Here is a 15,766-nt window from a genome sequence, read left to right on the forward strand (position 1 = left end):
TTTTGTTGCACCATGAATATTTCATTTAAACTATCTATAGGTAAAGTTCATCATTTGAAATGTTAAGTAAGCTTGAAATACCGATAGCATATTTTCATGATTTTTTTTAAGTTCGTTTTTTCTTTTACATTTGCAGAGAGATAGGTCTCCACACAGAAGCAGCCCTAGTGACACCAGGCCTAAATGTGGATTTTGCCATGTAGGGGAGGAAGAAAATGAAGCACGAGGAAAACTGCATATATTTAATGCCAAGAAGGCAGCTGCCCATTATAAGTGCATGGTAAGCATGGTTCTTTTAAGCCCAATTTTGTTTTTTTGTTGTTTGTTTTTCTTTGTTTCCCCTGTGATCTAAAGCCCAAATGATTTTTTTTTTAAAAATCATTTAGCTAGTAACCAAAAAATTTCCCCCCACCAGCATTAGTATTTTAGAGTTATAAACAGTATATCTTATAATCCCAAATCTTAAGTTTAGATTTTGTTAAATTATAGCCTTTATGTTTTAGTAGGATTTGAAGTAATTCTAATTATAGTTACTGTAGTTAGGATAATCTGTAATTAATTATTTCATAACTATAAAAATTTTGTCTTTATAAGCATGTCATGAAATATATTTTAGACTTTCACTATAACCTAATAATTATCTCTGTTGTACTTAACACTCTATATTACAATTATTCATTTATGAACTTATCTTCCCTAACAGACTCTTAAATTCCTTGAAGATAAGAATAAGTTTTTATCTTGACATCCTTAGGTCCATGCCTGACTTACAGTACACATAAATATCTTTGACTTAGATTGTATTGAATGACTCATCCCATTGATAAGGTTTTTAAAATTACATTATTTATGTCAGAGATTCTTAACCAGAGTGCATGTCAGATTTACCTGGTGAGCTTTTTCCGAAATATGTGCATCTAGGCACCCTGTGGAATAGATCTCGTATATGTCTAGTTTGAAAAAAAAAAATACGCGAGTGATTCTAATCTGCATCTATGGTTGAAATTTGCCAATTTAAACTATTTTTTAAAACTTTGTGGAAATGTAAAATAGTTGAGAATAGAGTGACATTGTTGAAATTTTCATTGCTTAAAGCAGGCTATTTAATCTTGGCTCCACACTGGCAGTCCTCATTTTATTTCAATGTCCATAATTTTGGTTATATTTTAATCAGACATGTAAATATATTAAAAATATTTGAGCAGATACTTGATTATTAAGGAAAGATTATCTTTCTTCGGAAATTAAATATAACACACTTGTTATCACATTTAATGTTTCTCTCATAAGGATTCTGAATGTTAATTTTCCTGCATTTTTCTTCTCTAGTTGTTTTCTTCTGGCACAGTCCAGCTCACAACAACATCAAGAGCAGAATTTGGAGACTTTGATATTAAAACTGTACTTCAGGAGATTAAACGAGGAAAAAGAATGGTCTGTAGTTTTTATATTTGTTATGCAACATTACACTTGATTTGCTGCTTTAAATTTAGAGTACATCCCAAATTTATCCAGTCATCAGAAAATTTAAAGTAGTTCGTATGTTAAAGCAAAGTATATATTTGACTTATTTGTAATATAATAAAGGATGCTGATGTTACTGAAACTTATTTCTCTATGTAACTTCATTACTTTAAGAGAATTATACTGAGAAGATTTATATACATTTCAAGGCATTTGCAAGCCGTTTAATAAAATAAATGAAGATATGAATGTGACAAACTTCATTAAGTTTAAAATGTTACATTGTGTAAGCTTGCTTAAAGGAAATTTTTTTCAGGGCTTTCTGTTTAAAGAACACATACACAGGGCTGCCTCTTAAAATGTTTGTCATAGCTTTAAGGTTTTTTAAATAAAATAATATAAAATACGCCTTAGTCTCATGTTGTTAAACATACTGAATTACCAACAAGTAGCTCTAAGAAATGTTGGCATCTTTATTGATCGCTTACTCCTTTAACACTTATGAATGCTATGTCGGTTATTTCTAGAAATTAATTTTTAAATTTTTTTGTTGGGAAAATTTTCAAACATACCGCAATTGGAAAGCCTAGTAACATGTATCTATCCATCATCTTGCTTCATCAGTTACCTAAATTTGTGGCGCTTGTTTCATATAGGCCTTTTATTCTTGTTGCTTGAAGTATTTTAAAGCAGACCTCAGACTTCGTATCACTATACCTCCATGTAGTTGAGTATGTATCTCTTAATAATTGGACATTTTCTTACCTAACCACAATGTCATTATACCTTACAATTTTTTTGTTTATTTTTTATTTTTTTATTTTTTTGAGACAGAGTCTCACTCTGTCGCCCAGGCTGGGGTGCAGTGGTGCGATCTCGGCTCACTGTAACCTCTGCCTCCCGGGTTCAAGTGATTCCCGTGCCTCAGTTTCCAAAGTAGCTGGGATTACAGACATGCACCAACACGCCTGGATAATTTTTGTATTTTTAGTAGAGACAGGGTTTCATTATGTTGGCCAGGCTTGTCATGAACTCCTGACCTCATGTGATCCACCCACCTCGGCTTCCCAAAGTGCTGGGATTACAGGCGTGAGCACCCGGCTAAAAATGAAACTTTCGTAACAGAGCCTGTAGTACTGAAAAAAGGAAAAACCACTTCATCATATTATTCAGAGCAGTGTTGTATAATACAGCTAAAGTCCAAACAGGTGACTAAGATAACAATTCAATTATCTTGCCAACTTATTGTTTACCTCTGTACCATTGAGGATTGGGGTAAACACTAACCTAGCATTTCCCCCAAGTGTGCTCCAAAGGAAGTTAGTCCATCAAGATGTTCCCCCACCCCTCCAGAGATAAAAGGGCATCTAGATTTCAATAAACTTGAAAACTGTTTACTCTGTGCCCCCTCCCTTGGAGAAAAGGCTGTGAGAAGTCCTGCAATAAAGTGATCTGCTTAACCTATCCTTTCTCAAACTTATTTGACTTGAAACCCCCTTTTCAACAGGTACCTTTTAATCTCCGAACATTCTTCAGGCAAGGTTTATCTAGGCCAAACTGAGAAGTTTTGAAAAGATTTCAGCCCCTTTAGTCTCCCTCTGTACTTTTGTCTACTGGTAGCAATTCCTCTGTGGGAGGATTGCTTTTCTGGTTTCTTATTCTTTCCCCTAATCATAATAGGAAAGGATCTGATCTTAGGGAAGAAAAGAAGCCAACCACTAAGATATACAACATCATTCTTTTTGTGTATTTGGCAGCATTGAGGAGAATCTTATCTACATTTAGATGTCAGACCTGGGATGGTCAGTAGTTTTTCTAATAAGCCAGCAGTTTATAAATGTTAAATAAGGGAAACATCAGGGGATGACAATATTAGAGGGCTTATCAAAGTATGGTTTAAGTTGCAGCATTATTTCAGTTATATGCTATGTGATAATTTCAGTGTACTCTTTTTCAATAGAAAATAGCTGCTGTTTTCTTGAAATACGGCTTACGATTATTTCTCTTTCCTTATACAGAAATGTACACTTTGCAGTCAGCCTGGTGCTACTATTGGATGTGAAATAAAAGCCTGTGTTAAGACTTACCATTACCACTGTGGAGTACAAGACAAAGCTAAATACATTGAAAATATGTCACGAGGAATTTACAAGTAAGAAAACAACAGTTGTCTATTTCCCTAAACATGTTAGTAACCGTCCTTAAATAGATGACATTAGTTTACTCAGTCTCTGTTCTTAAATGGTGTTTAGTTAAGTATAGAATACTGAGCACATTATGTAAGGAATGAGTACTACAATTGGCATTTTCCTCTGACTACATATCCCTGGATTAGCATTCATCCATCCAATATTAGTTAGGCTTCCTATGTGCCAGCCATTGTGCTTGAAGCTGGGCATATGCCAGTGATCAAAACTACATACACTGGGCCGGGTGCGGTGGCTCACATCTGTAATCCCAGCACTTTGGGAGGCCGAGGCGGGTGAATCACCTGAGGTCAGAAGTTCGAGACCAGCCTGACCAACATGGTGAAACCCCGTCTCTACTAAAATACAAAAATTACCCAGGTGTGGTGGCAGGCACCTGTAATCCCAGCTACTCGGGAGGCTGAGGCAGGAGAATCGCTTGAACCCAGGAGGCAGAGGTTGCAGTGAGCCAAGATTGCGCCATTGCACTCCAGCCTGAGCAACAAGAGTGAAATTCCATCTCAAACAAACAAAAAAAAAACACTACATATACTCTCCTCATGAAGCTTACAGTCTATTGGGAGAGACCTATTATTTAAGTGGCCAAATATGCAATTACAACATAGCAGCGTAAGTGTTCTAAAGAAGTTACAAAGTGTTATGAGAGCGTATAAGAAGGAAGAGCTAACCTAGTCTGTAGTGGGGAGTATTTAAAATGTTCTGAAGGAAATAGTGCTCAGCTTTAAGCTGAGATATTAAGGACAAAGGTGAGCCTTGGTTGGGGGAGGTATTCTGGGCAGAGAGAAGAGCATATGCAAGAGCCCCGGGTGAGACAGAAGCAGAGGTGGAAATGGGGAGATGTGTTAGGAGGCTAGTGCTGGTGGTCCAGGTGAGAATTATTGGTAGCTTAGAATAGGATATGGTAGACAGAAGGCAAAAGATTCTCTTGAGAAGATGGTGAAAAAGTAAAGTATGAAGATTTGGGATTGGGGGTCACCCTCTTTTTTATGGGTCTTCCACTTACCTGTGCTGCCTTGTGCTAGGTGGTGTTAATGTATATCTGTAATGGTTCCATTTGTTTAATCGACTGGAGTATAAGTTGGTAGGGACTCTTGAAGTTTTGATTTGCCATCCAGAGTTGTAAAGCACTTCCTTACTCTCACATGCCTAGAATGCAATAAACCAATGACTTCCGGGTCTAGTATTCTGTGTAAAAGACAATGTACACAAGCAGTCACCAAGTCATTTGGGTGCCTACATAAGGCGCTATGCTGTATAATAAAATTTGCCAAATTCTGTTTAATAATAAAGGCACAAATGTTTTCAAGTGAGTTCTATAAAGCCTTTAAGGAACAAATAATCCCAATGTTATTTAAGAGGTCCAGCACATAGCAAGAGATGGAAAACTTATTGATTCATTCTGTAAAGCTTACATAACTGTGGTACCAAACCTAACAAAGATACGTTAAAAGAAAAACAAACAAACTGTAGACCAATCTCCCCTTTTTTTTTTTTTTTTACTTTGAGACAGGATCTGACTCTGTTGTCCAGGCTGGAGTGCAGTAGTGTGATCATGACTCACTGCAGCCTTGACCTTCTGCCCTCACGTGATCCTCCCAACTCAGCCTCCCGAGTAGCTGGGACTATAGGCGCATGCCATCATGCCCAGCTAATTTTTTTTGTTTTGTTTTTTGAGGAGGAGGAAGGGTTTTGTTTTGTTGCCCAGACTGGTCTCAAACTCCTGGGCTCAAGCGTTCTCCCTGCCTCAGTCTTCTAAAGTGCTAGGATTACAGGCATGAGCCATGCCCAGCCACAATCTCACTTTTATAAATATACAAAAATTCTAAATAAAATATTAGTAAATCAAATCCAGCTCTGTATTCTAAGAATTGAAAGACTGTTCAGGCTGGGCACAGTGGCTCACACTTATAATCTCAACACTTTGGGAGGCTTAGGTGGGAGGATTGCTTGAGGCCAGGAGTTCCAGATCAGTGTGGGCAACAAAGCGAGACTCTCATCTCTATATAATTTTAAAAATAGAAAGAAAAAAGACTGTTCAAAATTAGGAAATATATTAATATAATTTATTAGAATTAGTAGAGTAAATAATCTTATCACCTTCCTTATAGATGGTGAAAAGACATTTGATAACATTCAACATCAATTTCTGAATTTTAAAGTAACGAGTGCTCTTGGTAAGCTAGGAATCTTAATAGGTGTTTATGAGAAAAACAACAGCAAATAACTTATTTATTATTAAAGTGAAGGAGCAATGGTTCTTAACCAGGAGTGAGCCTCAGAATCACTGTGGGGTGGATAAGGCCCTCTTTTAAAATGTTCATGTCTAAGCCCTACCTGTAGAGATTTAAATTTAGTAGGTCTGGGTTGGTGCCCAAACCATGCACTTTTCTGACTCCCCAGGTGATTCTTATGTTCCCCTCTAATTGAGAACCATTAGACTATACTTTAATTCAGATTAGGAAGAAGACAAGGATGCCAACTACTAGCATGACTTTTAACATTCTTCTAGAGGGTTAAGCTGATGCAAGACAAAAAGAAAGAGGCCCAGTGCATTGACTCACGTCTATAATCCCACACTTGGGAGGCCAAAGCGAGAGGATTGCTTGAGGCCAGGAATTCGAGACCAACCTGGGCAACATAGTGAGACCCCATCTCTACACAACATTTAAAAATTAGCCAGGCAAAGTGGCACACGCCTGTAGCCCCAGCTATACAGGAGGCCCAGACTGGAGGATTGCCTGAGCCCTGGAGGTAGAGACCAGCCTGGGCAACATAGTGAGACCCTGTCTCAATTTAAAAAATAAAAGAAGGCCGGGCGCAGTGGCTCACGCCTGTAATCTCAACACTTTGGGAGGCCGAGGCTGGCAGATCACGAGGTCAGGAGTTTGAGACCAGCTTCGAGATCGCCCCACTGCACTCCAGCCTGGGCGACAGAGCGAAACTCTGTCTCAAAAAAAAAAAAAAAAGAAATAAATAAATAAAAGTGTATAATAAAATGATCAATATTTGTTATTCATATCATTGTCTACCAAGAAAATTCAAAGGAATCAACTTTGAATTTATTAAAATTAGTAAGAGCTCAGTAAGATTGCTGAATATGAGATGACTTTTAAAAAACAATTCCAGTAATAACTAGTTAGAAAATGTAAAGGAAAACCGCCTGCCATACCCCGCCAAACACACATACACTAAAGATGAATTTTTTCCATTTAAAAAAAAAACACACAAAGCTTTGTTTTGGGGTGTGGTTGGGGAGACAGGGTCTCACTCTGTCACCCAGGCTGGAGTGCAGTGGCATGATCACGGCTCACTGCAGCCTTGACCTCCTGGGCTCAGGTGATCTTCCCACTTCAGCTTCCCAAGTAGCTGGGACTACAGGCACACGTGACCATGCCTGGCTAATTTTTGCTATTTTTTGTAGAGACAAGATTTCACCTTGTTGTCCAGGCTGGTCTCAAACTCCTGGACACAAGTGATCCACCCACCTGAGCCTCCCAAAGTGCTGGGATTACAGCTGTGAGCCACCATGCCTGGCCAAAAATTACATTTTACAAAGGACTGAAATGAGTGGTGAAATATATTATGTTCCTTGATAGAAAACTCAGCATCAAAAGACACCTATTCTCACCAAATGTATAAATTTAGTACAATTTTGATCAAATCCAAATTTTTTGGCAGTTTTATTTAGAAGGCTAAATGTGATATAATTTTCACTTTTAATGGTTGTGTTTACCTTATATAACAGAAAAAAAAAATAGCAGCTTAACAGGATAGAGGGTTGCTTTCTCACCTAAAAGACATGCAGAGGAAAGCAATACAGATGTGGTAGGCAATTTTTCAGTGTCATCAAAGACCCACATCACCATCCTTCTGCTCACCCCTCCTTAAGGTCTCCTTCCACATATGTGTGTGTAGGTCTCCTTCCACATATGTGTGTGTATGTTTTTGTGTATGCAGAAAAATCTCTAGAAACATATTCAACAAGCTTAATGGTTATATTACTTCTCATTAGTTGCATAAGGATGGAGGAGAAGAGGCAAGTTTATATTCTCCATGATAGGATTCTGTGGTGTTTGAATATCTTCATGAGAAGTATATTATTATTAAAGTAGCCCTTAACATTTTAAAATAACAGGCTGATTTTAAATATCCAAAATCAGATTGTATGGAGAATTATTGTATTTAAAAGTGTAACTTTTAGATGATTTTATTATAATAGTTTTAAATGGAAAATATTTAAATATTTCCATTTTCATTTTGGAAGAAAAATGGAAATATAGATGAGAAAAAATACTTAATGTCAACTTTAACTCTGCCATGCAGAGGTAATAATTTTAAATCTTTTGGAATGTTTTCTCTTAGACGTTTATGTGATTATGTGTGTGTATTTATAAAAACAAGATTTTCTGCTGCTCTGCCTATGGGGTAGCCATTCTTTTATTCGTTTGCTTTCTTTAAAAAAAAAAAAAAGATTTTCTTATCTATGCTGTTTTATAATCTCTTTTCCACTTACTAGATCAGAGACATTTTTGTGTGACATTAAACAATTTTACATCTTGTTTTTTGTTTGTTTGTTTGTTTGTTTGTTTTTGAGACAGTCTCACTCTGTTGCCTAGGCTGGAGTGCAATGGTGCGATCACAACCCATTGCAGCCTCAACCTCCCAGGCTCATGTGATCCTCTCACCTCAGCCTCCCAAGTAGCTGGGACCTCAGGGGCACCCCATTATACCCGGCTAATTTTTTTTGTGCAGACGAGATTTCACCATGTTGCCCAGTCTGGTCTCAAATTCCTGGGCTCAAGCGATCCACCCGCCCCAGCCTCCCAAAATGCTGGGATTACAGCATGAGCCATTGTGCCCAGCCTACATCCATTTTAATGATTGCATAATATTCCATCATATAGGTATATCAGTTTATTCTATTGGTTCCTTTTTCAGACATCTAGGTTGTTTTTGCTTTTTAGCTATTAGACAACCATATTTCAGTGACAAAACAAAAATATATGTACTTGGATCCATAATGATTTGAATTGCTCTTTTTCTTTTCTCCCATTGAGATGTGTTTCTGCAATCCATTTGTAATGTGGATTCCAGATAGACACAACTGAGTTCAAATGAGAGCCCATAGGTGGGTAGTTTGGGGAGAGAAGAAGGGACAAATAAGAGGAAATGCAGGGAGGAATATTTCTGAATGAAGTGGCTTCCCTGTCTCCTAACTATGGCTTTTCTTCCTTACCAGCCCTTTCTGGGTCCTGACTGTATTCCTATTCGAAAGACTAGGGAGGGATAGATAATAATTTTTATTTATATTTATCCTGTTTTATTGTCTTTATTGTATTTTTAACTATTTCAATATGGATTTTTTTAAAATGTCAGCCTCCCACCATAAAAAATGGAGTTCTGTGACAGCAGGGACCTTGTTTGACCAGTTGACACCTGTAACCTTAGCACCTAGACTAGTGAAGGCCATATAAGGGCCTATGGGAAATATTCTGCAAGTAAAAAATAATCCCATAAAATAATTAAAAGTTGCTCCAACAACAAAGCACTTGTCCTGTTAGAGGGAACTTCCTATTAAAAAGACGATTTTCAAATGTAAGCAAAAACAGAATAGTATAACAAGTCCTCATATCAGCAGTTAGCAAGTTATTGCCACACTTGCTTTATCTATTGTTTATTTTCCTGAAGTATATTGTTTATTTTCCTGAAGTATATATATTAAAGCAAAATCCCAGATGTCTTGTCATTATATAATTATTATTCCATTATCACACTTTGTAAAATTAACAATTATTTCTTAGCATCATCTTATACCCAATCCATTTTCACATTTGCCCAGTTGTATAAAAAAAATCTCATTTTAGACTTAATTTGTTGAAATCTGGATACATGCAAGGTCCATCCATTGCATTTGATATGTCTCTTAAGTCTAAATACGGACATACTTGTCCCCTTACTTATTGAAGAGCCTCGATAAATTGTCCTAAGTCCCACATTCTAGATTTGTCTCTTTGCCATTTCATGATGCCATTTAACTTGTGTCTCTATCCCTCTCTCCCATTTCTTGTAAACTAGAGGTTGGTTCAGAAGTTTAATTAGATTCAGGTTATATTTTATGGGAAGATTCTTCGTAGGTGCCATTGTGTAGGAATCTCACTCTTGATATTTAAACTCATGATTTAAAAATTTAAAAAGAGGTAGTTCCCAATGTGTAGTATTTGAAGTGTACAGATTCTCCCTAGCTTTTTGAAAGTTATTGAAAATGTTTTAAGACTAAAAAGAGAAATAATGAACAAAACTAGATTAAAGTCAGTTGTTATTGTTGTCCACTGTGTCCTGAACCCCACCCCTGCCTTTTATTCTACTCAAATATTAGACCTAGTTTAGATAATCTATTTGTAACATGTGAATTCCTAGATGATTTTTTTCATCTATTGCTGACCACAAGAGGGCATCCAGTGAACATGTTCTAAGCATTCTTCCATTGTCGTCTTATGTATAATAGACATAAAACTGAGGAATCGCCTTACACTCATAGGTGGGAATTGAACAATGAGAACACTTGGACACAGGGTGGGGAACATCACATACCAGGGCCGGTCGTGGGATGGGGGGACGGGGGAGGGATAGCATTAGGAGATATACCTGATATAAATGATGAGTTAACGGGTGCAGCACACCAACATGGCACATGTATACATATGTAACAAACCTGCACGTTGTGCACATGTACCCTAGAACTTAAAAGTATAATAAAAAAAAAAGAAAAAAAAAACTGAGCTCAAATCAGCCTGCCCTTGTTTGATTGTCCAAATCACCTATATTACGATTTTTATTTAAAACCTAATGAATTTTAAATATACAATCTGTATACCCAAATAAAAGGTTAGAACCAAGCATGATATCAAATTAGCACTCCAGAGATAACTTTCCAGATTTAAAGGGGAAAACCTACCTTTACAATGGAGATAGCTGGTCATCACCACTACTTTAACCAAATGATCAAACATAGTGTCACCCAGTAGCAGGACATTTTGAAATTAGATGCCTCCTGAAATATGCAGGATTACCTACAGAGTGTCTTGACTGAAAAAGAAAAGCTGAACCTGAAGCTAACCAAGCCTTTAGACCTTATTCCCAGTGTATAGGAAATACAGGGCGAGAGAGAACCAAATAAAACAGTACCACAATTAGACAAGTCCAGAATTTGCTACAGTTGACAGACTGTCTGGTCTAATCTCATCCTAAAAAGTCAGTGTTGTGTAAAAACAAGAAGTTGGAAGGACCAGTCTAGATTAAAAGAGACATAGCCAAATGCAGTGCCGGAAAACTGTTGGATGGCTCATGTAGGTATTCCAGTGAAGGCTAGGATGCTAATAATGAAAAACCATTTGAAGAGTTTGAGTAAAATTGTTTCATCAAATGTGAGCAGAAGGCAGCAGTATAGATAGAATATATATTTCCTGAAATGTGATTTTAAATTAAATATATGAAACAAATTTATAGAATTTGATTATTTCATCAATATACCTGAAGGTTGGTATTTTTAAGTTGGCCAAAACTTTGCTTTTAATCTCATTGGGCAAAATGAGGAATTGCCTTATGATAACTGTCATCCTAAACCAGAGATTTTGTTTCAGATGAACTTTTATTATCTCAATAATAGTGTGTTTTCCTATCTGTTAGATAAAAATGGGTCTGTAACTAATTGGGGAGTATTTTTTAAAGTGTGGATGAGGAAACCCATGTTTTAAATGGGCACTAGCCTCATCCACTAATGTTGGCAGGAATGTTCATCAGCAGTGACAAAGCATTTTGAGATTTTTGTCTTTCATCATTGTAGACTATACTGTAAAAATCATAGTGGAAATGATGAGAGAGATGAAGAAGATGAGGAACGAGAGAGTAAAAGCCGAGGAAAAGTAGAAATTGATCAGCAACAACTAACTCAGCAGCAACTTAATGGAAACTAGGTATGAAAGTTAATTATATGGGATCTGTTGTCAGGATACAATACACACTGATATATACATGTTGAAGTAATGGTATGCAGTAAGATTTTTTTTAATCCTATTATGTTTAGTTAAGAGCATGTTACTAAAATGCTGAGGATTTTGTAGGCTTGCATAGTAGTTGTTTTTTAACTAGCTGATTTTGTAACCATAAAAACAAGCTATCTGCTTTATCAATAAGTGTAGTTGTAATGTCAAATCAATAAGATATTCACACTCCTCAATAACATTATATTGATTGTGTTCCCCTCAAGCATCATATTTTACATTTTTTTATCATCTTTTAAACAGGTTCATGGGACAGAGTTAGAAAACTGGGAATGAATAAGACATCCATAACTACTATTCTTTTTTCACTGTTTTCTAAAATCAAAAAGGGTTTGTAACTTTTTACTGCCCAACTCTTAGATCCTTCATTGAACTGCCTAAAAATGTCTTGTTTGTTTTATGAGCCCTCACTAGAAGGCTGAGTTTGACATGTTGATATTACGTAGCTATAGTTTGCAGTTTCTGGGAAGCAATTGAAACACTATTAACCCTGTGTATAGTGTCAACAGTTAAAGCAGACGAAACGAAGTAAGCTATATTTCTGGACTGAACAAAGCTCTGCTGTTTAGAGCATTTAAGTTTGTTTAGTGGATCCATACTCAAAGGAAAGCATAAGCAAATTTTCCTTTACAATGCAAACATGCCACTGGTGGCAGCACATGGTAATTTGTGGATTTTTTTTTCATACTCAAGTAATGGAGGCTAGAAATGAAGAGAACCTTCTTTTTCTCTTGACTTTGACAGCACATGCTAAAAATCTCTTCCAAGAAGTATGCTAAAGCTTTTCATTTGGTTCCTGTTAAAGTTGTTCTCACTGACCAGCATGGACTCAGGCAACTGGTAATGATAAGCTATGAGCTCCAGTGCTTTTGCCAAAATTCTCTTGACAGCACACCTCCTCTCTTTCCATGTTATACAAAGGACTTCTGGCAAAATGATTGAGTCCTTCAAGTTTAAACTAACATTTGGCAACAGCAAATTAAACGTTTTTAAGATGTAAAGAAAGGGTTACCGCTTGCTAAGGACTTCAGACACCATGTCCGAAACCTGTTCCTCTCAAGTGCCCTGTTGTGTGGAACACTTCACATATTGGCGCACAGTACGTAAGGAGGTCTCATGTGCTGTAGGAGTAAAAAAGTCTTTGCATAAAACAGTATTTATTTTTACTTTTGTGACCACTATTTTAGAAACTTTATTTAATATTTTAATGTTTTCAGTCATTGCTTTGGTTATCTATAAAATAGGCTTTTGTGCCCTACTTTTCTTCTTGTAGGGCTTGGTGGTGTTTTATCGATTGTCAGAATTGTTTTTGAAAGCCTAAGAACCCAGCTTTTTAGAAAGGATTTTCACACTGGCATTTCTAGGTAGTGATATTTTCTTCCACTTACCTGCTGAAGCACATTTATGCATTTCTTTATGGCAAAACCAAATAACTTTAGTTGTGGTCTGCCTGATACTACCATAGCACCTCAGTACCAAGGGGAGGGATTTTGACTAGTTGAATTATTAAGCCACCACAATAAAGCAGATTTTTAAATAAGAAATAATAATGTTAACTTGACTGTACATTGAGATATTCTGCAGCTGATAGAGCAGCATTTTAAAAATGTAACAGGTGGAAAATTACACTGTGCTTAATGACTGATTTTTTTTTAAACTGCGAGTCCCTTAAGATCACGTTTGTCAAGTGTGTATTCACACATTTACTTAAATCAAGGGACTCAATGCTTGCTTTTATTTTAACCATCTTTTACTATTTTTAGAAGGAAACTAGCTTTAGTAGTGGGTTGCCCTGTATGTTTTCTCTTTTTGCTCTTAATATGCCATTGGGTTTTTGTGTGTATGTGATTTTCAAAATTCATGACTTGAAGTGCAAGGACAGATCTAGATGTTTGTTTACCAAGCTATGTGACTTCTCCCAAAGGATCTGTACTTTCTTTCCTTACAACAGCTTGAAAATCATTATTTTAAAATCCTTAAATCACTGTGTCTAGATCATTTTTTACATTGTGTGCCATAGACTTACCCATGGGACAACAGAGCTCCTTCATTTTTGGACAACTACTGTAATCATTTTTTTTTTAGGAAAAATGGAAGGTGCCGGGGGTAATCATGGCCAGTCAATAATTATATAAAGGAGTTCAAATACTATAGCTGTCAGTTGATGAATTTGTTATGTAGTAAAATGTATGACTTTGTATGGGTTTCTTCAGCCCTTTTTCTGCCACTAGCAACCAGAATAGCACTTTACCTTTTGGTTGGCTAGATAAGTGGCTGACTACCTGTTTTTCTCACTGTGGTGTGATTGGCTAAACAATCTCGCATTAAAAATTCAAATGTAAATTGAATTCACATGAAAAATCATGTTTGGTTGTAAACCTCCAATGTTTTGATTCTCTAATCATGTTTTCGTCACATGCTGAGTAAAAGTGCCTTACAATGTAAAAATTGTACAGTACTTATGTTCCCAAGTAGCATCATCATCTTCTGGGTAGTAATTACATTGTGGTATTAATATTTAGAAAAATGGACCTCAGCAGTGTATTTACTGTACATCTCTTAAGTCCTTAACTGTAGTTTTAATAAGCATGACATTATTTGATAAGTATATAACATTTACATCATTTCAAAAAATACTGCCGTTACTGTCTTTTATGCATATTTTAGCCTGAAATTTTGAAGCGTCTTTTTTCTTTCTTTTTTCTTTTTTTGTTTTGTTTTTTGTTATTGATATTAAACAGTGTAATCTTTGCAAGCGTATATTGAAGATTATTCTGGAGCATTTATTGCCTTACCAGAAATGTTAGTAGGAAATGTTCTTTAGAGTAGAAAGATAGACTTGAGTTTCTATACTTTTAAGAAGAGCTCTTTGTTCCTGGGGGAGGGGGGCAGGGGGTGAATTTTACTTTCATCTCAAGTTATTAAAAACCCACAACTGAAGTAAATTTTATTTCAAGAATCAGCAGTTTTAGAATTTCAGATAGTACTTGCTCAGAAGTACATGCTACTCAAGATATTAAGAGATAACAAGATCTGTAGATCTGCTATTGAATCAGAATCTGTGTACTTGAACAAATGTGTGAATCTCAAATATCTCAAAGCAAAAGAAAAAGTGTTCTAGAGTGTTGTTGCTTTTTTAAAAAAAGCGCTGAAGTTAGACCAAGGTATACAGTTTTGTTCTAACAGACATTTAGGTTAATTGTAAAGATAAGGAATGCATTATGGGTCAAAAATCAAACATTCCTCTCATGTTATGTATATTTTGTTCCTGTTATATTGGCTTTATTTTCAAAATTGTAGTTTGTAGTATTAGTTTCCTTTTATTGGTATTCTTGCATATACTATTCATTCAATAAATGACTTATGACTTTCATATTTGTTTGTCTTTTTTGTGAAAGTGTATACTGAAGCTTATTTGATAACAGCAATAGTATTGTGTTCCTTTTAGTCTTGCTTTATTTCAGAGTAAAATGCCTTAATAACTTTTCATTAAACAAGTATGGGAGGAAAAAAAGTGTGAATTTGAATTCAGTTCAAAGTTTCACAATATAAAAGTTTTATCATGGAGAGAAACTGCAATCTTGTAAGTACAATCGAACTGCATTACATCTTGGTTTTTTTATTACATGGTTCAGATGCCCATCGTTTAAATCAGATCCTCTGAAACCTAGTTAGAAGGTTATTTTGAAAATAAACCAAAACTCCTAGTACTATTTATCAGATTGGCAATATGGGTGCAGGATTAATATCCTTGTCATAAAGGGATTTTACCTTATATCTTTAAATGTACTCCCATTACCATGGACAGTGTGCTTCTAGTACAGTGCTCATATATTGAGGTTTGTCACATCCAGGGCAGAAATCAAGTTGTAATTAGTAGGATATGCTCATTCCATACACACAATTCCTAACCTGCAGAGTGGGGTAAAAAATCAAGTAACATGTTCTAATTAACTCCGGAACATAGGATAGTGTACTTCACTGCAAATGTTACCTAGTAGTGCCTGGCACATATGTGCCTGTGTGTGTTTAAAA

At 36.0% G+C, this 15,766-nt stretch overlaps 1 protein-coding gene across 3 annotated transcripts in view; it reads left to right on the top strand.

Annotated features, from left to right (window-relative positions):
- PHF6 (PHD finger protein 6) overlaps positions 1 to 15,104 on the top strand; it is a 55,479-nt gene extending 40,375 nt beyond the window's left edge. Inside the window, exons 7-11 of one of the 3 annotated variants that reach the window (NM_001015877.2) lie at positions 137 to 280; positions 1,330 to 1,434; positions 3,483 to 3,616; positions 11,515 to 11,644; positions 11,975 to 15,104. In NM_001015877.2, coding sequence (NP_001015877.1) covers positions 137 to 280; positions 1,330 to 1,434; positions 3,483 to 3,616; positions 11,515 to 11,644 — 513 coding nt within the window. In that variant the 3' untranslated portion in view covers positions 11,975 to 15,104. Of the gene's footprint in view, positions 1 to 136; positions 281 to 1,329; positions 1,607 to 3,482; positions 3,617 to 11,514 lie in introns of those variants that run through there. The other 2 variants (NM_032458.3, NM_032335.3) reach the window with 2 other exon arrangements.

This window comes from Homo sapiens, chromosome X, assembly GCF_000001405.40.
Source record: "Homo sapiens chromosome X, GRCh38.p14 Primary Assembly".
Lineage (NCBI taxonomy): Eukaryota > Metazoa > Chordata > Mammalia > Primates > Hominidae > Homo > Homo sapiens.